General features: G+C 47.8%; 1 protein-coding gene across 39 annotated transcripts in view; it reads left to right on the top strand.

The window, feature by feature from the left end:
• Positions 1 to 21,911, top strand: part of BAZ2A (bromodomain adjacent to zinc finger domain 2A) — a 42,723-nt gene that overhangs the window by 17,624 nt on the left and 3,188 nt on the right. For 14 of the 39 annotated variants that reach the window (XM_047428148.1, XM_047428139.1, XM_047428147.1 and 11 more), the window contains 27 exons: positions 3,163 to 3,300; positions 5,088 to 5,681; positions 6,557 to 6,742; positions 7,462 to 7,680; positions 8,449 to 8,922; positions 9,062 to 9,122; positions 10,178 to 10,286; positions 10,480 to 10,581; positions 10,749 to 10,959; positions 13,962 to 14,062; positions 14,383 to 14,448; positions 14,632 to 14,865; positions 15,368 to 15,622; positions 15,896 to 16,110; positions 16,404 to 16,478; positions 16,995 to 17,175; positions 17,277 to 17,336; positions 17,838 to 17,982; positions 18,503 to 19,149; positions 19,293 to 19,515; positions 19,597 to 19,752; positions 19,863 to 20,014; positions 20,205 to 20,494; positions 20,578 to 20,731; positions 20,847 to 20,993; positions 21,337 to 21,566; positions 21,684 to 21,827. In XM_047428148.1, coding sequence (XP_047284104.1) covers positions 3,163 to 3,300; positions 5,088 to 5,681; positions 6,557 to 6,742; positions 7,462 to 7,680; positions 8,449 to 8,922; positions 9,062 to 9,122; positions 10,178 to 10,286; positions 10,480 to 10,581; positions 10,749 to 10,959; positions 13,962 to 14,062; positions 14,383 to 14,448; positions 14,632 to 14,865; positions 15,368 to 15,622; positions 15,896 to 16,110; positions 16,404 to 16,478; positions 16,995 to 17,175; positions 17,277 to 17,336; positions 17,838 to 17,982; positions 18,503 to 19,149; positions 19,293 to 19,515; positions 19,597 to 19,752; positions 19,863 to 20,014; positions 20,205 to 20,494; positions 20,578 to 20,731; positions 20,847 to 20,993; positions 21,337 to 21,566; positions 21,684 to 21,827 — 5,569 coding nt within the window. Of the gene's footprint in view, positions 1 to 3,162; positions 3,301 to 5,087; positions 5,682 to 6,556; positions 6,743 to 7,461; positions 7,681 to 8,448; positions 8,923 to 9,061; positions 9,123 to 10,155; positions 10,287 to 10,479; positions 10,582 to 10,748; positions 10,960 to 13,266; positions 13,780 to 13,961; positions 14,063 to 14,382; positions 14,449 to 14,631; positions 14,866 to 15,367; positions 15,623 to 15,895; positions 16,111 to 16,403; positions 16,479 to 16,994; positions 17,176 to 17,276; positions 17,337 to 17,837; positions 17,983 to 18,502; positions 19,150 to 19,292; positions 19,516 to 19,596; positions 19,753 to 19,862; positions 20,015 to 20,204; positions 20,495 to 20,577; positions 20,732 to 20,846; positions 20,994 to 21,336; positions 21,567 to 21,683; positions 21,828 to 21,911 lie in introns of those variants that run through there. The other 25 variants (NM_013449.4, NM_001300905.2, XM_047428142.1 and 22 more) reach the window with 9 other exon arrangements.

The raw sequence follows: 21,911 nt of genomic DNA, 5'->3' as shown, positions 1-21,911 counted from the left end.
CCAGCTGCTGGGGAGGCTGAGGCAGGAGAATCGCTTGAACCTGGGAGGTGGAGGTTGCAGTGAGCCGAGATCACACCCTTGCACCCCAGCATGGGCAACAAGAGGGAAACTCTGTCTCAAAAAAAAAAAAAGGAAATCCTGGAGGACCCTGTGTGTTTTGTTTGTTTGTTTGTTTTGTTTTGTTTTGTTTTTTTGAGACAGGGTTTCGCTCTGTCACCCAGGCTGGAATGCAGTGGCATGATCTTGGCTCACTGCAATCTCTGCTTCCCAGGCTCAAACAATCCTCCTGCCTCAGCCTCCCAAGTGGCTGGGACTGCAGCTGCTCACCATCATGCCTGGCTAACCTGGGGTCTTTTCACTATAAAGACTCCATTTTTTCACTGATGCATGGCAGGTTTAGGTCTGCTACTTAATTTAGAGCAAGCTTGTCCAGCCCACCCAGGACAACTTTGAATCTGGCCCAATACCAATTTGTAAACTTTCTTAAAAGATAACATGGAGATTTTCTTGTGATTTTTTTTTTTTTTTTAAAGCTCATCAGCTCTCATTAGTGTATTTTATGTGTGGCCCAAGACACTTCTTCCAGTGTGGTCCAGGGAAGCCAAAAGATTGGACACCCCTATTTAGACTAAAGATGAGATATCCTATATGGGAGATAAGTAAGTCCTAAAAACTTTTTCCCTTAAATCAACAAATGCACATTGCTTTTAGTTTTTAGAGATGGGGTCTTGCTATGGTGCATAGGCTGGACTTGCACTTTTGGGCTCAAGTAATCTTCCTGCCTCATCCTCCTGAGCAACTGAGACTACAGGCAGGAACCACCATGCTCAGCTAACTTTTTTATTTTTTGTGGAGACAGAGCCTTGCTATGTTTCCCAAGCTGGTCTTGATCTCCTGACCTCAAGTGATCTTCCTGCTTCAGCCTCCTGGAGCACTAGGATTACAGGCATGAGCCACCATGCTTGGCCTATTTTTATTTTTAAAATTTCAGTTAAAATTGATTAAGATACAGACAATTCCCACATACTATGCAGGGTTTATATATCATGCTCAGACTTATGTTATATTCACATTTATACTAATGGTGTCTAATTTTAGTAATGTAGCATATTTATGAATGTAACTCTTGCAGACTTTGGCCAGTGGGCATATATATTCTTTTCTTTTCTTTTTTTTTTTTTTTTTTGAGACAGGGTCATGCTCTGTCACCTAGGCTGGAGTGCAGTGGCATGATCATGGTTCACTGCAGCCTCGACCTCCTGGGCTCAAGTGATCCTTCTGCCTTAGCCTCTCGAGTAAGCTAGGACCACAGGTGTGCCCCACCACACCCTGCTCCTTTTTTTTTTTTTGAGATGAAGTCTCGCTCTTGTCCCCCAGGCTGGAGTGCAATGGCATGATCTCCGCTCACTGCAACCTCCGTCTCCCAGGTCCAAGCAATTCTCCTGCCTCAGCCTCCCGAGCAGCTGGGATTACAGGTGCCTGCCACCACGCCCAGCTAATTTTTGTATTTTTTAGTAGAGGTAGGGTTTCACCATGTTGGCCAGGCTGGTCTTGAACTCCTGACCTCAGGTGATCCGCCAGCCTCGGCCTCCCAAAGTGCTGGGATTTCAGGTGTGAGCCACCGTGCCTGGCCTTCACACCCTGCTACTTTTAAAATGTTTTGTAGAGATCGGTTCTCGCCATGTTATCCAGCTTGGTCTTAAACTCTTAGCCTCAAATAGTCCTCCTGCTTTGGCTTCCAAAGTATTGGGATTATAGGTGTGAACCACTATGCCAGGCCTCATCATATATGTACTTAACCAGTGTATTCATTCTTTTTTTTTTGAGATGGAGTTTCACTCTTGTCGCCCAGGCTGGAGTGCAATGGCGCAATTTCAGCTCACTGCAACCTCTGCCTTGCGGGTTCAAGCGATTCTCCTTCCTTAGCCTCCTGAGTAGCTGGGATTACAGGTGCCTGCCACCACACCCAGCTAATTTTTGTATTTTTAGTAGAGACAGGGTATTACCATGTTGGTCAGGCTGGTCTCGAACTCCTGACCTCAGGTGAGCCACCGTACCTGGCCTGAATTCTTCTCTTTTTTAAAATGTAGTAACATAATTCAAGGAGTTGCTTTTTCTGTATCAAGACAGATTATGTTTCTCACATATCAAGTTGGTATGCACTAGGATGTCACAAGAATCCGATTGATATGTTAGAGTTTACCAATAATTCTGGCTTCTGCTTGCTTTCTTTCCTTTCCTCTGTCAAAGTTAAATTCATTCTGATCAAGGGCTTCTTATCATTCTTAGTAGTATTCAGAAAGGGTGAAAAACTTTTTAGCCATACCTCAATGAGCCATTGCACTTTACAAATATAAGTATCTTGCTATTTTATTTTCCCTGTGACCGTTTCTTTATATTTAAGCCACAAAACTAAAACATTAGGAAATAACCATAATAGACATAACAGAATAATATTTTTTGGGATACCCTCATATTTAATCAATTTTCCACTGCTGACATTTTTCTGACCTGTGTTCTTGGGGAGCATAAAGAGTAGAAGTATTGCTGGATGATTCGAGGTTTGCCATTATGATCACCTTCCTGAAATGTATTCTCCTTTTCAAATCCCTTTACTAATGTAACTACTATCTTGAGATATCTAGGGCTATGGATAGGATAATTAGAAATTATGTTTAGCTCAAGTTTAATAATGAAACAAAGAGTGTTTATCAAATATGCTTTTCTGTCAAAAAGATGGCTTTGAGAACCTTTTGTGGGCCTGGGAGGGAGACTTTACCTTGGGGATAAAAACAAAAGGATGGAGAATGTTAAGTGGTACAGTAGAGGCTAATATCTAATATAGAAGGGTAACCTGGGCTGAGTGGGGCTTACACAGAGGGAAGACTCCTCCAGGTTTGTATCTTGGTTTTTCTCGCTAACTTGCTTTGTTTTTTAATCTACAAAGCTGGCTTTAAAAGACTGTTTTCATAGGTTCATTGCTCAGGCTAGAGGCATATTTTCTCCTTCTCTTTTCTTATTCTGTACCTTCCCTCACACAGTACTTAGGTAGGAGAAGGGTAAGTAGGTGGAGGGGAGGGGTCATTGCCCCTGGAAGATTCCAGGTGACATAACCTTGTTTAACCGCCAGTATTTTTTTTCCCTCTCTCTCCCCTCCTGCAGAAATGGAGGCAAACGACCATTTTAACTTTACTGGCCTTCCCCCTGCACCTGCTGCCTCAGGACTGAAACCCTCTCCTTCCTCAGGGGAGGGCCTCTACACTAACGGGTCTCCCATGAACTTCCCCCAGCAAGGGAAAAGTGAGTGTGAGGGCTGCTTGGCCTGGGGAGGGAATGGGCATCATCCCTTTAGGGCAGATTCATGGGGGGATATTTTGCTCTACTTTGCTGCTGGAGAGAAATCAACTTCTAAGAACAAGTTCTAGGGTTTTTTGGAAACATTTTTTGTATTGATTTAAGGTTGGAAGAGATTAGAAAAACCCACTGGCTTTTTCATCTTAGCCTGTTCTTCTGTCAGCCCTGTTCCCCTGGCTGCTGACAGAGCAGTGAAGTGGCTACTGCTGCTGATAACCCATGAGAGAGATAAAGTGCTAGCCTTCTAAGAAGCTGTTTTTAGAGGTTAGGGAAGCTACACTGGGCCAGGACTGAGAGTTGAATGAAGGTTGCAGTGTATTTATTGCCTTTTAGTTTGTACATCAGAGAAAGGCAGATGCTAGAAGTACTTATTCCACCTTCTGTCCTTGGATGGAAGGTAGGGACAAGGGAAAGTTTAATGCTTACCTAGTTCCCCCAGAGAGAAGTTCATAATTCCATATGGAGGTGTTGCTGCCAGGATTGGGTCTTTTCCTGGATTTGGCTTACCAGTTGCTCTGTACCATGACTCGCCAGGTACCTCTGTAATCTTGCTTGGGTTTCAAGTCCTTTATACTTGGAAGCAGAGAGAAGCCCACATGCTTCCCTCCTTTCTTGTAGCAGAAAAATCCTGCTACTTCTCCCTCCGATCCTCTCGAAGAGGGTTGCAGATGGTAGAAGCTCCTTTATTTCATTGGATTCCACCCTACCCTCAAGCTTCCTTAATATCTTGGTTCTTTTTGATTGATTGTCCTCCATCCCAGAGGTTGCCATTGATGATGAGAGCTGAATTCTACAGCACACAAAGTGCCCCCCCTACCCCGCCAGCTGGCATATTACCTTCCAATGCCTATAGGGAAGGGCCAAGCCCAGCCTTCTGAGCTGGGTTCTTGTCGCTGTGGTGACTGCAAATTCTATTCTTAGCCCAGCACAAAGTGCTGGATCTGCATGTGCCAGTGAGGTGGAGGTTGTTCCTTTTGGTACCACTGTGGGGCCAAATAGGCACTGGGGAAAGGGGGCCCCTAGCGAATTCAGTCATGCCCCTCCAAGGGAAGAAATCCCCTAGGGAATGAGAGTAGGGCAGAATGCAAGTCACTGTAGGGAGTCTGCAAACAGTTTCATTTAATTAAAAACAAAAAAAAAGGCCAGGCGTGGTGGCTCACGCCTGTAATCCCAGCACTTTGGGAGGCCGAGGCAGGTGGATCACGAGGTCAAGAGATGAGACCATCCTGGCCAACACGGTAAAACCCCGTCTCTACTGAAAATACAAAAATTAGCCGGGCGTGGTGATGGGCGCCTGTGGTCCCAGCTACTCGGGAGGCTGAGGCAGGAGAATCACTTGAACCAGGGAGGCAGAGGTTGCCGTGGGTCGAGATTGCACCACTGCACTCCAGCCTGGTGACATAGCGAGATTCCGTCTCAAAACAAACAAACAAAAAATAAACCAAAAAAAAGCCAGCAGTAAGCAGCAGCAACCAGCTCTGCTGGTGGCTCTCATGGTAGGCCTGGAGAGCTCTCTAGCCCCCTACTCAGCCTCAGCAGCAGTTGCTAAACCTACATCCAGGAGCCTCTGGGCTTGGTGTTCTCCAGAGACCCAAAAACTAAATATAGCAGGGGAGGAATCCCCCTTCCCTTTACCATGTCTTTTTCTAGTCAGTGCTATTACTTTGAGTTTGTTTTGGTAAAGTTGCTTGCCTACATATCTGTAACTGACCTTTTCTTTCTTTCTCTGCCAGGTTTGAATGGGGATGTGAATGTTAATGGCTTATCTACTGTATCTCACACTACTACTTCAGGGATTTTGAACTCTGCTCCCCACTCCTCCAGCACCTCACACCTCCATCACCCCAGCGTGGCCTACGACTGTCTCTGGAACTACTCACAGTACCCATCTGCCAATCCTGGCAGCAACCTCAAGGACCCACCCCTTCTCTCCCAGTTCTCGGGGGGACAATACCCACTCAACGGCATCCTTGGGGGCAGCCGGCAACCTTCATCCCCAAGTCATAACACTAACCTTCGGGCTGGGAGCCAAGAGTTCTGGGCCAACGGTACCCAGAGTCCCATGGGGCTTAACTTTGATTCACAAGAACTGTATGATTCCTTTCCTGACCAGAATTTTGAGGTGATGCCCAATGGACCCCCTAGTTTTTTCACCTCCCCACAGACTTCTCCTATGTTGGGATCTAGCATTCAAACCTTTGCACCCTCCCAGGAGGTAGGCAGTGGTATCCATCCTGATGAGGCAGCAGAAAAGGAGATGACTTCAGTTGTGGCAGAGAATGGCACTGGCTTGGTAGGCAGCTTGGAGCTGGAAGAAGAGCAGCCAGGTATAACTGGGTTGGTGAACTGGGTGGGGAAAGGAAAAATGGAGCTCGGGGGGGATAGTGGCTTTTTGAGGTGAGAAAAACTTGTCTTTCCAGCTCTCTGCAGTGGAGGCTGATTTGCATGTTGGTGATTAGCAATTAGCAGAGCCAAGTGGCTGGTGTTTTTGTGGCAGCAGCACCAGCTCGCGAGTGGGAGTGCAAATTATTTCAAGCTCATGCAGAGCTTCTGGCCTGGAGAGGGCAGGTGGGCGAGCCCGAAACAGCCCCAACAGACACCCTGCATCAAGAAAGGCTTCTTTCAAAATATACGGAGTGGTTAGGGTCTAGCAGCGGGCATTGAGGCTGTTTTAACTGACTGTGGCAGGATCAGACTGGCTGTTAAAGTCGTCTGAGCCCAATGTAGTGATTGGCATGCGAAGGAGGGAAGGAAGCAGGCAGAGCATATCATTATTTGTCTACTCAGTTTCCTTTTTTTTGTTGTTTAGCATTAGTACACGTGACAGCCCCTCTCATCTTTTCCCTCAAAATAGATAAAAGCTTAGCTTCCAGTTGATTCCTGGTACAAGGGTAACCACCACTCTGTAAAATTACAGGATGTTTTCTCGTTTCCCAATGGATGGAGGAGATATCTGAGAACATGATAGAGATGTTGTATCAGACCCCACTCTCTTTTCCTCTCTTTGCCTGCTGTAGGATTGATTTTACCAGCACATCTCTGCTCAGAGTATCTTGATGTGATCGGTTCCCAGCAATGAACTGGCCGCAATAAATGTTGAATGAATGAACATCCTTCTAGCAAAGATTGACTGCCTAGTATAGCTAAGTGAACCAATATAAGGCACTGATTTTGACTTTTGGTCTCTCCTGTGATTTCCTAGAACTGAAGATGTGTGGCTACAATGGCTCTGTCCCTTCTGTGGAATCGTTACACCAAGAGGTCTCAGTCCTGGTCCCTGACCCCACAGTGAGCTGTTTAGATGATCCTTCACATCTTCCTGATCAACTGGAAGACACTCCAATCCTCAGTGAAGACTCTCTGGAGCCCTTCAACTCTCTGGCACCAGGTAGGTTTGGAGGCTATGTCCCTTTAACTTATCCATGCAGAGTAGCCAAACTTTACCTGAAAGAGACAGTAAAATGGGAAAAGTATTAGGCAATCAGGGGCACTGGGGCTTCCAGGTAGGCCTAAGGCAGACCACAGTTACATGCCACAGGACTTGGTGCCCTAACTGAATTCTGAGCTGAATTGGTTCATGTCCCAGGTTCTTTCCCAGTATTCCTTTTGGCCAAGAGCTCTGGGCTGTAATAATTCACTGGGTAGGGACTTATTATCACACAGTTGATCTTTCTGGGTTCTGACAAACTAGGAAGAAAACATTTGTCAGTGAGCAGTTACCTTTTACTCCACTGAAGTACAAGAAAGACATATTTTATGATAAATCCTAGAATTTTGCATAGGTCTCTGGGTAGATAATACCACCAATGCCTTTCCTTTCATTTTCACCTTGTAGAGATGAGGTCTTGCTATGTTGTCCAGGCTGGTCTTGAACTCTGGCCTCAAGCAATTCTTCTGCCTCGGCCTCCCCTCAAACTTTTATGATCCCTATAATCTCATGACTACTCTTTCAGGGAGAAGGCTTTACTTGTTACCTAACTTAATATTAGGAAGAATCTTCACATTGTGGGAACTAGAATTGGATGTTTTCTGACCAGTGTTTCTTAAATCTTGCTTTCTGATTTTTTTCTCATTATCCTGCTCTGATTTTTCTACCCTTGTAAACAGAGCCAGTGAGTGGAGGACTATATGGTATTGATGACACGGAGCTGATGGGTGCAGAGGACAAGCTGCCTCTTGAGGACAGCCCTGTGATTTCTGCCCTTGATTGCCCTTCCCTCAATAATGCTACTGCCTTCAGTCTCCTGGCAGATGATAGTCAAACATCAACCTCTATCTTTGCCAGTCCCACCTCTCCACCTGTCCTAGGGGAGTCTGTCCTGCAAGGTAAGTGACGGTAGGTAGGACAAAGAAAGACCTTTACCTGAGAAAAGATGAGAGAATAAGTTTCATAGTTAGGGCCTTAAGAGTGGGAAATCTGGCTGGGCGCAGTGGCTCACGCCTGTAATCTCAGCACTTCGGGAGGCCGAGGCGGGTGGATCACCTGAGATCAGGAGTTTGAGACCACCTGGCCAACATGGTGAAACCCCGCCTCTACTAAAAATACAAAAATTAGCCAGGTGTGTTGGCACATGCCTGTAATCCCAGCTACCTGGGAGGCTGAGGCAGGAGAATCGCTTGGCCCCAGGAGGCAGAGGTTGCAGTGAGCCGAGATTGTGTCGTTGCACTCCAACCTGGGCAACAGAGCAAGACTCCATCTCAAAAAAAAAGTAGGAAAGCAAGAGCACCTTGCTGGGAGCTGAGGGGCTATGGGATAGTGTATGGTGGAACTAAAAGAGGTATAGGCTGCTATACTCCGACCTGTGCCCTCTGCTTTGAAGAACTTGTGAGACTTGGAATTTGTAGGGAGAAGGAGGCTAGAAGCTTTATTGGCACCAGGTAAAAGGTATTTCTTCACACAATGACATCTGTAGCAACTTTACCCTTTAATCCTCATGATTGGTTGGGAGAAAAAGCTACTTCTTTTTCCAACCCTAGGGAAGACCCCTTGAAGTAACCCTGTTTAGCTTGGTCCAGGGTTGACTGAGTAGATTCTCTTGTTTTATGTGATGCCTTTTTTTTTTTTAAAGCCTATCCTGTCCCTTTGGATTCTAGATAACAGCTTTGACCTGAATAATGGTAGTGACGCTGAACAGGAAGAAATGGAAACTCAATCTTCAGACTTCCCACCATCCCTGACCCAGCCAGCTCCTGATCAGTCATCCACTATTCAGCTACATCCAGCAACCTCACCAGCAGTCTCGCCAACAACCTCCCCAGCAGTCTCCCTAGTGGTTTCTCCAGCAGCCTCCCCAGAAATCTCTCCAGAAGTTTGTCCCGCAGCTTCTACAGTTGTCTCTCCAGCAGTCTTCTCAGTGGTCTCTCCAGCTTCCTCAGCAGTCCTCCCAGCAGTCTCCTTAGAAGTCCCGTTGACGGCTTCAGTGACATCCCCAAAAGCCTCTCCCGTAACTTCCCCAGCAGCTGCCTTTCCAACAGCCTCCCCAGCAAATAAGGATGTCAGCAGCTTTCTAGAAACCACTGCTGACGTGGAAGAGATCACTGGAGAAGGACTCACTGCTTCTGGTAGTGGTGAGTATCCAGATTCTATTCTATCCCTGTCTGGTTCCAAGAAACTTTTCTGTCCCATGTTGTAGTTAGCCTTTCCCTATTGGCCTATTGTTTAAATATTTTGCTTGAACTCTTAACTTGGGTATCCCTTCCTCCCAAGGTGATGTCATGAGGAGACGTATTGCTACCCCAGAAGAAGTTCGTCTTCCCCTCCAACATGGGTAAATGCTCTAGTTTGCTACATTTATTGACCTTGACAAGTTTAATGCACAACTCTAGAAAGAAGGGAATGCCTCTTTTCCTCTGAGGTGGGGGAGGAATGGGCCAGACAAGAGTAGATTACAGGACAGTTATCTGCAGTGATAATGTTTCTTGGCATGAGATTCCTAGGTTTTCCTTCTTCTCTCAAGGTCTGTCTTCCATCACCTATTCTTTTTTCATCTTGTAGTGACTCAATTTTGCCCAAGGAGCTCCAGCTATTATCTTTTCCAAACCCTAGGGCTCACATCCAAACCAGCTGGCTTGTCCTATTTCTGTGGACAAGGGATAGTAATGAATGAGGAGTGACTTAGTACTAATGAATTGAGGTGGTTTTGTTGTTTTAATGCTCTTAGGAGAGGTAAGGGCAGGAACAGTACATGACCAAAATGAACAAACTAGCTGACACCAGGGCCTTGTGGAAATAACTGCCTTCCTGGATCTTCCCCACCCCTGCCCCTCAAGGCTACTTGTGGTCACCAAGTCTGAGTACTGCTTAAAATTTTGAGAGAAAGATTAGAGTTAGTCTTAGAACTAACTCTGACTAACTTTGTGTTCTGCTCAGAACACAGAGTTCCTAACTAAACCCTGGCATATTGAGTCTTTTCATGGAATCAGCAGCAAATTTATTTTTCTGCTTGCCTCCCTGCCCTTTGTCTTCTGTCTTTATTCCCCTTAGGTCTTTATCCTCTTTACTGGAAATCCAGTAACTGCCCTGAATGGCTCAGGGAGGGGTTTCTGGCAGCTTATCTCACTGATTTTGTAAAGGAGGGATGGAGATCTCTCTGAGCTTGTGCAGTTTGGTGTAGTGCTTTTCTCCTAAGGGCCTTGATGTATTTGCTGGAGCTCAAGTCAGCCTTCTAGCCAAGCTTATCTCTCTTGGTGCTTTTGCATCTGCATGCAGTTCTAGAGATACAAATGTGGGGAGGGCCATCTGCTCAGAGGGCTTCGCGCTTAGGTGGCATGGGAGTGGGTAGGGGTGTGACCTGGCGGCAGGGCCCATGTGCTTCTCTGGCAGGTGGCGGAGAGAGGTGCGCATCAAGAAGGGCAGCCACCGATGGCAGGGGGAGACCTGGTATTATGGCCCCTGTGGGAAGAGGATGAAGCAATTTCCAGAAGTGATCAAGGTAATGTAGCTTTTTTTAAAGGACTGCTTTCTTGGGCTCAGTGGACTCCTTTCCACTGCCCAAGACTCCGTTCTTGGGCTCAGTGACAACAGGCTGGCATTGTCTGCTCTGGGCCTGTTCTGCTTATGCCTTTGCTGGCCAAAGACATGGTAGGATCCAACTTTATTAATGTTACTTTACTTCTTCCTCTTAGTACCTGAGCCGCAACGTGGTACACAGTGTCCGCCGAGAGCACTTCAGCTTCAGTCCCCGTATGCCTGTTGGAGATTTCTTTGAAGAAAGAGACACGCCAGAGGTGCAGACCCAAGGGTTAAATATGCTTTTGTCCCTGAGGAAGAGTTGGTGGACAAGCTGCAGCTTCCTCTCGTGGGGTTTGAAGGTTCTGGGGCATTGAATGGTTCCGAGGGCCTCGTGGCCTGCACTGATTCCTTACTACTGTAACAGTCTCCCTTGCTACCTTAGGGCTTGCAGTGGGTGCAGCTCTCAGCAGAGGAGATCCCGTCGAGGATTCAGGCAATTACTGGCAAACGGGGTCGACCTCGAAACACTGAGAAGGCTAAGACTAAGGAAGTCCCCAAGGTGAAACGGGGTCGAGGTCGGCCACCTAAGGTCAAAATCACTGAGCTATTGAACAAGACAGACAACCGCCCCCTAAAGAAACTGGAGGCCCAAGGTACAGTGGTATTTCTTACTTTGGGATTCTGCTCCCTCCATGAGGTATCTAAAATGTTGATGAATTGCTAATACCTGGATTTCCCAGGAGTGTAACTAACATTATCTGGGAAGAATGAATCTGAATCAGCTTCTCCTTGGAATCCAGCATCCTAGTCCCAGCGCTTGGGAATACTACTTTTCCAGCCATGGTCTTTCTTGAGTTGCTGTTACCAGTGAAACCTTGGGCTGCCCCCAGGTGTGTTTAGCCCAGAGGAGAGGACTTTCTTGCCCTTTCTTTCCATCTTTTAGCTCCTTATCATATACTGGTTCAGTTGTACCCTTTTACCTTACCCATTTCTACTATCATGGAGGTTCAGAATTCACATCTGAATTCAAAAGATAATTGGGAGCCAGGCATGGTGGTGTGTGCTTAATAATCCCAGTTACCCAGGAGGCTGAGGCAGGCAGCAGAGGATCACTTGAGCCCAGGAGTTTGGAGGCTACAGTAAACTTCAGTTGTGTTATTGCATTCCAACCTGGGCAACAGAGCAAGGCCCTGTTTCTAAAAAAAATAATAGGCCGGGCACAGTGTCTCACACCTGTAATCCCAGCACTTCGGAAGGCCAAGGCGGGCGGATCGTGAGGTCAAGAGATTGAGACCATCCTGGCGAACATGGTAAAACCCCGTCTCTACTAAAAATACAAAACAAAAAATTAGCTGGGCGTGGTGGTGTGTGCCTGTAGTCCCACCTACTTGGGAGGCTGAGGCAGGAGAATAGCTTGAACCTGGGAGGTGGAGGTTTCAGTAAGCTGAGATTGCGCCACTGCACTCCAGCTTGGTGATAGAGCTAGACTCTGTCTCAAAAAAAAAAAAAAAAAAAAAAAAAGCCAGGCACGGTGGCTCACGCCTGTAATCCCACCACTTTGGGAGACTGAGGAGGGCAGATCACCTGAGGTCGGGAGTTCAAGACCAGCCTGACCAACATGAAGAAACCCTGTCTCTACTATAAATACAAAATTAGCCAGGCATGGTGGCGCATGCCTGTAATCCCAGCTACTCGGGAGGCTGAGGCAGGAGAATGGCTTGAACCCAGGAGGCAGAGGTTGCAGTGAGCTGAGATCACACCATTGCACTCCAGCCTGGGCAACAAGAGTGAAACTCCATCTCAAAATAATAATAATAATATAATAATAATAATAGGCACTGTTTTAGTGGATGGACAGGTGAGAAATACCTACATTTTTCAGTAAATAGTGTGTTTACCCTGGTGTAGTGTGAAGAATGTGAAAAAACTTAGTCTTTTGATTTTCACTCAGACATCTAGCCGTGTCATGTTTCAACCAAATGACCTAGAACAAGTCTCATTTTGTTTTTTTTTTTTTGAGACAGAGTCTTACTCTGTCACCCAGGATGGAGTGCAGTGGCACGATCTTGGCTCACTACAAGCTCTGCCTCCTGGATTCACCCCATTCTCCTGCCTCGGCCTCCCGAGTAGCTGGGACTACAGGTGCACGCCACCACACCTGGCTAATTTTTTGTATTTTTAGTAGAGACGGGGTTTCACCATGTTAGCCAGGATGGTCTCGATCTCCTGACCTCGTGATCCGCCCACCTCGACCTCTCAAAGTGCTGGGATTACAGGTGTAGCCCCCACGCCTGGCCCTTTTTTTTTTTTTTTCCAGATGGAGTTTTGCTCTTGTTGCCCAGGCTGGAGTGCAATGGCGCGATCTTGGCTCACCGCAACCTCCCAGGTTTAAGCGATTCTCCTGCCTCAGCCTCCAGAGTAGCTGGGATTACAGGCATATGCCACCACGCCCAGCTAATTTTGTATTTTTAGTAGAGATGGGGTTTCTCCATGTTGGTCAGGCTGGTCTCGAACTCCTGACCTCAGGTGATCCGCCTGCTTCAGCCTCCCAAAGTGCTGGGATTACAGGTGTGAGCCACTGCACCCAGCTAAGTCTCATATTTTAATCAAAGCCTTAGGTAGTTCATCTGCCCATAATATCTGTCTTAGAGGGTTGTCACGTAGACATGTGGTGGCGTTTCTATACCAGAAACAAAATAATAAATATTGTCATGTCAGGGCCAGGCACGGTGGCTCACGGCTGTAATCCCAGCTCTTTGAGAGGCTGAGACCAGCGGATCATGAGGTCAGGCAATCAAGACCGTCATGGCTAAAACGGTGAAACTCCGCTTGTACTAAAAATACTAAAAATTAACTGGGCGTGGTGGCACGCGCCTGTAGTCCCAGCTACTGGGGTGGCTGAGGCAGGAGAATCGCTTGAACCTGGGAGGTGGAGATTGCAGTGAGCCGAGATTGTGCCATTGCACTTCAGCCTGGGCGACAGAGTGAGACTCCGTGTCAAAAAATATATATATGTATATATAGTCATGTCAGAAACATCAATTATGAAATACTCTTGTTTGCAGAATTATACTTCCACAAGTCTTCCCGAAAGGAAGAAATTCAGAACTTTTAGTGAAGCAAGACATGGAGCTGAGCATGATCAATAACTATGTCAGTGATTCTTTTGAGGTGTCCACTGTGTGGGCCTTTTTTCTGGCACACCCTTGGTTAATCAGTGCTTCTAACTACTACCCTCTTTCCCTGGCAGTTTGGCTTGCTGTATCCTTTCTCTGCTTTCTGCTCTAAAATCAGTCCGTGGGTTTCTGCTCTTGTCAGGTATCCTGGGAGAGAGATTGGCTCCAAGGCTACTCTGCCATTGTGGCCTCTTTTCTATCAGCAGGACACCTTCTAAAGCAGTCTGATTGGAGCCAGGGGCTGGTGCTTCTGGGCAGGAGATGTCATTTGAGTTCTTTGTGCCACCCCCATAGCAGGTGCCTCTCCTACATTTTTTCCCCCAATGTTTTATTATGTATACTTAAAAAAAAAAAAAGCTACTCTAGATTCTTCAGGGAGCTGCTTGGGAGGCCAGCTTTGAGACGGGCATGTGTTGCCCTGGATGCTAGAGAACTGCCTTCCTGCCTCACTTGTTTCATTTTTCTTTCTGCTCTCACAGAAACATTGAATGAGGAGGATAAAGCAAAGATTGCTAAAAGCAAGAAGAAGATGAGGCAGAAGGTTCAACGGGGAGAGTGTCAGACTACTATCCAAGGGCAGGTGAGGGACATCAGAGAGATGAAACAGTAGGTTAATTTTTCCTACAACTTACTTCATCTTTTATTTTCATTTCCCACATCCGTCACTCCCTGTGTAGCAGCATATCTTCATTACCCTGAAATTTCTTGCACTTGATTTAGAGAATTGGGTTTGTTCAAAAATAACGTGGGCATCTCTAGGGTGAGAGAATTAATCCATTGCCAACCCCTCATTCCATCTCTCACCTCTCCTCCCCAGCACCCTTGTCTGTTTTTGAATCCTAGCCCAAGCAGAGATGCTTTCAGAGTTTGAGGAGAAATGACTTCCCTTATGGTTTACAGGCCAGAAATAAGCGGAAACAAGAGACCAAGAGCTTAAAGCAGAAGGAAGCTAAGAAGAAATCCAAGGTAGGTGCATGTACAAACTTGCCAAGTATAATTTCGAAGCCACTAAACTGATTTTGCAGGACATGTACATCAGTCTTGTTTTATAGTGAGATTTCTGGGCTGTGAGGTTGGGAGGACTGGGACCAGGGAAGGATAGTGACTGATATCTTTATGGCAGTCTTGGTTCCTCTCTTCCTTGGGTAGGCTGAGAAAGAAAAAGGAAAGACAAAGCAGGAAAAACTGAAGGAAAAAGTCAAGAGGGAAAAGAAGGAGAAGGTAAAAATGAAGGAAAAGGAGGAGGTGACCAAAGCCAAGCCAGCCTGTAAAGCAGATAAGACCCTGGCCACACAGAGGCGCTTGGAGGAACGGCAGAGGCAGCAGATGATCTTGGAGGAAATGAAGAAGCCGACAGAGGATATGTGTCTGACTGACCACCAGGTAGTGAGGAGAGAGTAACAGTTCCTGGGTCAGCTGGGAAGACTTTCCTTTAAAAAAAAAAAAAGGACTTCTGCAATGGGAGAGACATTTCCATTAAAGATTAAAGGAAGGCCGGGTGCCATGGCTCACACTGTAATCCCAGCACTTTGGGAGGCCGAGGCGGGCAGATCGCTTGAGCCCAGCAGTTCAAGACCAGCCTGGGCAACATGGCGAGACCTCATCTCTACAAAAAATACGAAAATTAGCTGGGTGTGGTGGCATGTACCTGTAGTCCCAGCTATTTGAGAGACTGAGGTGGGAGAATTGCTTGGGCTTAGGAGGTCGAGGCTGCAGTAAGCAGAGATCATGCCACTGCACTCCAGCTTGGGTGACAGAGTGAGACCCTATCTCAAAAAAAAAAAAAAAATTACATAAAAATTAAAGGAAGAACCTCTTGTAGACATGCAAATTGTCATCTTCTGTTATGTTTAACAGAACTCTCTACTCACTTTTCTCTCTCTAGCCCCTGCCTGACTTCTCACGAGTCCCTGGTCTGACATTGCCCAGTGGAGCCTTCTCAGACTGCTTGACCATTGTGGAGTTCCTGCATAGCTTTGGCAAGGTGCTGGGCTTTGATCCTGCCAAAGATGTGCCTAGCCTGGGGGTCCTGCAGGAGGGACTCCTGTGTCAAGGTGACAGCTTGGGTGAGGTGCAAGACCTGCTGGTCAGGCTGCTGAAGGCTGCACTCCATGATCCTGGCTTTCCCTCCTACTGTCAGGTGAGTGCAAGTCCCTCCCAAAGTAACCAGGACAAGTAAAGGAGATGTAACTACTTAGTGTTTCTCTTTTCCTTATATTTTTCCATTTCTTTTTCTTCCTGACTCCTCTCCTTATTTTATTTTTCTTTATTTTTTCCTTTTCTTTTGTGGTCTTCTTTCGTATTCTGTCTTAACCCCCATAGTTCTCTTCTGATGTATTTTCCTCTTGCACATTCACCCAACTTGGTTGTGCATCTTTCCCTACTCACCCCCATTATGCTGTCCTCCACACAGTCCCTAAAGATCTTGGGGGAGAAGGTGTCTGAGATCCCACTGACAAGAGACAATGTGTCAGAGATCCTGCGCTGCTTCCTTATGGCATATGGAGTAGAGCCAGCCCTCTGTGACCGCCTGCGCACCCAGCCTTTTCAGGCCCAGCCACCCCAGCAGAAGGCTGCTGTCCTGGCCTTCCTTGTGCATGAGCTCAATGGCTCCACCCTCATCATCAAGTGAGAGGCTGGGAGTGGGGATGGTCATTGTATCCCTTGCATCAGAATGGGGTGGAGGACTTGTAGCCTTCCAGAAGTCCTCAGAAATGTGTGTTCACTGCCATGTTCTGAAGATGCTGGAATGACTTGGGACTGAATTGCAGTGCCCTCCCTGGGAGAGCCTAAGCCTTCTGCCATTCACCCAATCTGGGTTCTAGGCTGGAACTCCTTTTTCAGCTGCAGCCCCTTTACCCTTGAGCCTCCTTTCCCTTTTTTTGTGCTGCCACTTCATCCTATTCCCTATTCCCCTGCAGTGAGATTGACAAGACTCTGGAGAGTATGTCCAGCTACAGGAAAAACAAGTGGATTGTTGAAGGCCGGCTCCGGAGGTAGGGACCAGACAGAGAGTAGAGCCTCAGAGAGGAGAGAAGTGGGGCGGGTGAAGCATAGCCAGGGTTTTGGCTTGAAATGTGATGCTTTAGCCCCTTCCCTGGGTTTGGGACCTTACCAGGGCCCAGGATGGTTTAGAGTCAAGGTATTTCTTTTGTGGCACTATCATGTTCCTCACCAGTTTCCCGTAATTTTTTTTTTTTGAGATGGAGTCTTCCTCTGTCGCCTAGGCTGGAATGCGATAGCGCAATCTTGGCTCACTGCCACCTCCGCCTCCCAGGTTCAAGCGATTCTTCTGCCTCAGCCTCCCAAGTAGCTGGGATTACAGGCCCATGCCACCACACCTGGCTGATTTTTGTATTTTTAGTAGAGACAGGGTTTCACCATGTTGGCCAGGCTGGTCTCGAACTCCTGACCTCAGGTGATCCGCCTGTCTTGGCCTCCCAAAGTGCTGGAATTACAGGTGTGAGCCACCACACTTGGCCTTCCCTTAATCTTTCTCCATCTATTTCAAGGCTGAAAACTGTTCTGGCCAAGCGAACTGGGCGGTCTGAAGTAGAGATGGAAGGGCCAGAGGAATGCCTGGGACGGAGGCGCAGTTCTCGGATCATGGAGGAGACCAGTGGCATGGAAGAAGAGGAAGAAGAGGAGTCTATAGCAGCTGTCCCTGGCCGCAGGGGTCGAAGAGATGGAGAGGTACTGGCCCAAGATCAAGGAAAGTGGGAGTTAGAAAATAAATTCCTCTTTCTTGAATCTGATAACCTCCTTTTTCATAATGCCCATGTGTTTCTCCCTAGGTTGATGCCACAGCATCTAGCATCCCAGAGCTAGAGCGCCAGATAGAAAAACTCAGCAAGGTATTGTGCTTCTAACCTCCCAAGAGTTGGAGATATGGGCTGGGCAAGAATTGATCAGCTTCTTTTTTAAACTGAATTTTAATTTTTATTCTTTTGAGATGGGGTTTCTGTTACCCAGGCTGGAGTGCAGTGGCACGATCATGGCTCACTGCAGCCTCAGCCTCCTGGGCTTAGGTGATTCTCCCAAGTAGCTGGGACTACAGGCAGGAGCCACCATGCCTGGCTAATTTTTGTGTTTTTGTAGAGACAGTTTCCATATGTTACCAAGGCTGGTTCTGAACTCCTGGGCTCTAGCAATCCACCTGCCTTGGCCTCCCAAAGTGCTGGGATTACAGGCGTGAGCCACCGCTCCCAAACTTAATCACCTTCTGAATTAGGCCCAGATGGCATCACTTTTATAGAGGGACTGAGAGCCATTGCCTTTCTCTGATATACTGGATGAATTCACCACTGTCACTCTGGAAATGTGTTTATTCATCTTCATTTTCATTGTCTACCCAGCGTCAGCTTTTCTTTCGCAAAAAGCTGCTTCACTCATCCCAGATGCTTCGGGCGGTCTCCCTGGGTCAGGACCGCTACAGACGTCGCTACTGGGTATTGCCGTATTTGGCTGGTATCTTTGTAGAAGGAACAGAGGGGAACTTAGGTAGGTGTGCCTGTGGGAGTGTGGATTCTGAGTCCTATCAAACAAGAATTAAATAATTCCTTTTCCTTAGTAGTCTTGGGCTTCTTTCATTTTCTGATAATATAGCGTAATGGTTAAGAGCACAGATTTTAGAGTAAAGCTGCCTACCCACCTGCTCTGCCATTTCCAGCTGTATGATTCTGTTTCTTCATTTGTGAAGTTGAGATAATAATAGTGTATGTACTTCATAAGGCTACTGAGAGGATTAAAATGAGTTAAGTCTCTTAGAATAATACTTAACCCGTAGTTGTTTCGCAATAAATGTTAGCTTATGATTGTGCTGCTGCTGCTGATTACTTGGGAGAATAGTGTTTCTTCCCCAGATACTGTGTTCATTGGCATATAAGCTCTTCCCAGTGGAATCTCAAAAAAGGGGGACTAAGTCCAAGAGAAAAAGAAAGTATAGGTCCTAAGTTTATATACCCTCTTACTTTTCCCTTGTATGTCAGCATATGGCTTAACTCTTTACTTCTCTTTACAGTTCCTGAGGAGGTGATAAAGAAGGAAACTGACTCCTTAAAAGTGGCAGCCCATGCGTCACTCAACCCTGCCCTCTTCTCTATGAAGATGGAGTTAGCTGGCTCCAACACCACTGCCAGTTCTCCTGCCCGGGCCCGAGGCCGACCTCGAAAAACTAAGCCCGGGTCTATGCAACCTAGGCATCTTAAGTCCCCTGTCAGGGGTCAGGATTCAGAACAGCCCCAGGCCCAGCTTCAGCCTGAGGCTCAGCTTCATGCTCCTGCCCAGCCCCAGCCTCAGCTTCAGCTTCAGCTTCAGTCCCATAAGGGGTTCCTGGAGCAAGAAGGCTCCCCTTTGTCACTGGGTCAGAGCCAGCATGACCTCAGCCAGTCAGCCTTCCTGTCTTGGCTGAGCCAGACTCAGAGCCATAGCTCCCTGTTGAGCAGCTCAGTCCTCACACCTGATAGCAGTCCGGGAAAACTAGACCCAGCTCCATCACAACCCCCGGAGGAGCCAGAGCCTGATGAGGCAGAATCCAGCCCTGATCCTCAAGCACTCTGGTTTAACATCTCAGCCCAGATGCCCTGCAATGCTGCCCCCACACCGCCCCCTGCAGTTTCTGAGGACCAACCCACTCCCTCCCCTCAGCAGCTTGCCTCCTCCAAGCCAGTAAGTAGCCAGAATTAGTAGTATGCACTTGATTTCATCTTGCCACAGGCACCATTGCCTGGGTGTGGAGCTGCTGCCTGAAGTTGAGGGAACCTATAAACATGAAAACATCCTCATTTCCTTATGTCTCATTTTATTCACAGATGAATAGACCTAGTGCTGCCAACCCTTGTTCTCCAGTGCAGTTCTCTTCCACGCCCTTGGCTGGGTTGGCCCCTAAGAGGCGAGCAGGAGACCCTGGAGAAATGCCACAGAGTCCCACAGGGCTGGGACAGCCCAAACGGAGAGGGAGACCTCCCAGTAAGTTCTTCAAACAGATGGAACAGCGTTACCTAACCCAGCTGACAGCCCAGCCTGTCCCACCTGGTGAGTGACCTTGGAGTGAGGGCATCCGGTGTGGGCAGTGCTTCACAGCTGGCGCCCCACATATATCTCATCTGCTCACAGAGATGTGCTCAGGCTGGTGGTGGATACGAGATCCTGAGATGTTGGATGCCATGCTCAAGGCCCTACACCCCCGAGGTATCCGGGAGAAGGCACTTCACAAACACCTTAACAAGCACAGGGACTTCTTGCAGGAAGTCTGCCTGCGGCCCTCAGCTGGTAAATACATTCCTACACCCAGCTTGAGCTGAAGAGCCCAGGATAAGCATTGAGCTGCTGCTAGGGACAACAGCCTGATGGGCCTCTCCCTCTGCCACCTCTCTTCTCAGACCCCATCTTTGAGCCCAGGCAACTACCTGCCTTTCAAGAAGGGATTATGAGCTGGTCCCCCAAAGAGAAGACATACGAGACAGACCTAGCAGTGCTTCAATGGGTAGAGGAGCTGGAGCAGCGGGTTATCATGTCTGATCTGCAGATTCGGGTATGCTGGGATTGGCACTGTGTAGGAAGGTTGGGGAAAAGCATTAGTCCCTTATGCCCTGTTAGAAAAAACCCTGGGTCCCTACTTCACAGGTGACCTACCTTAAGTGGGTCTTGTTTTTGTTTTTTTTTTTCCTATGCCAAATTTTCCTCCTTTTACAGTGAGTTTTATTCCTCTCTCTTAACTGAAGGGCTGGACATGTCCTAGCCCAGACTCTACCCGTGAAGACTTGGCCTACTGTGAGCACCTCTCCGACTCCCAGGAGGATATCACCTGGCGAGGTCGGGGCAGGGAGGGACTGGCACCTCAGCGTAAAACTACCAACCCTTTGGACCTGGCTGTGATGCGGCTGGCTGCCCTGGAACAGAATGTAGAACGGCGGTACCTGCGGGAGCCCCTCTGGCCAACTCATGAGGTTGTGCTGGAGAAGGCCCTGCTTAGCACACCTAATGGTGCCCCTGAGGGCACCACTACAGAGATGTGAGTGACTCCCACCCTCCATTCTTGGTCTTGGAGAGAAAGGGATAAGTTCCCTCTTTAGTGGATCCGCTCCTTCTCCAAAGATCACCACTTTCTCCCTCCAGATCATATGAGATCACCCCTCGCATTCGTGTCTGGCGCCAGACCCTCGAGCGGTGCCGGAGCGCAGCCCAGGTGTGCTTGTGCCTGGGCCAGCTGGAGAGGTCCATTGCCTGGGAGAAGTCTGTCAACAAAGTGGTAAGAGGCTGAGAGAGCCTGGAGAGGCTGAGGGGCCAGCCAGCAGGGGCGGGGTGGGGTCACTGGCAGGTAGAGGCTGGAGAGCTCATTCTGCCTCCTCACAACCTTGGTCCAGACATGTCTAGTCTGCCGGAAGGGTGACAATGATGAGTTTCTTCTGCTTTGTGATGGGTGTGACCGTGGCTGCCACATTTACTGCCATCGTCCCAAGATGGAGGCTGTCCCAGAAGGAGATTGGTTCTGTACTGTCTGTTTGGCTCAGGTAAGGCTTCTGCTCTTTCTTTCCCACACTCAAACAGAAATCAGAGATTATCCTCAATCTCTCCTCTCCTTGGAAAGAGTCCTAGACTGGGTATTAGGGGACCTGGGTTCTAAGTCCTTTTTTGGACAAGTCACTTAAATTCTATAGCTTTAATTGCTGTCTCTATAAAATGAGAATAACTATACCTTCCCTTTTACCTACTTCATTGGGTTATGTGAATAAACCAATGCCGGCTTATGCATGATAGTATTTTGAAGCCTTAAATCATATTTAGGCAGAGATTGTAGTAGGGCAAGCAGTGCATCTCCAGCTGTTGCTAATCTCACCTGTTTCCTATACTAAGCAGGTGGAGGGAGAATTCACTCAGAAGCCTGGTTTCCCAAAGCGTGGCCAGAAGCGGAAAAGTGGTTATTCGCTGAACTTCTCAGAGGGTGATGGCCGCCGACGCCGGGTACTGTTGAGGGGCCGAGAAAGCCCAGCAGCAGGGCCTCGGTACTCGGAAGAAGGGCTCTCCCCCTCCAAGCGGCGGCGACTCTCTATGCGGAACCACCACAGTGATCTCACATTTTGCGAGTGAGTTGAGTGAATCCTGGGGGGACAGTTGGCTCTACCTCTGCCAGAGGAAAGGGCTGGGAGGGGTCAGTATATTTGCTTCCTGAGATGGAGCCATCATTGTCCCTCTAATGATAGGATTATCCTGATGGAGATGGAGTCCCATGATGCAGCCTGGCCTTTCCTAGAGCCTGTGAACCCACGTTTGGTGAGTGGGTACCGGCGCATCATCAAAAATCCTATGGATTTTTCCACCATGCGGGAGCGGCTGCTCAGGGGAGGGTAAGTAGATGTGGGTGAACCGCCCGGTCTTTGCTACTGCTGCAACTCCTACCCAGCTCACAGTTTTGCCCCTGCCCTGTCCAG

This window comes from Homo sapiens, chromosome 12 (genome assembly GCF_000001405.40).
Source record: "Homo sapiens chromosome 12, GRCh38.p14 Primary Assembly".
Taxonomy (NCBI): domain Eukaryota; kingdom Metazoa; phylum Chordata; class Mammalia; order Primates; family Hominidae; genus Homo; species Homo sapiens.
This window is presented reverse-complemented; position numbering and strand designations above follow the sequence as displayed.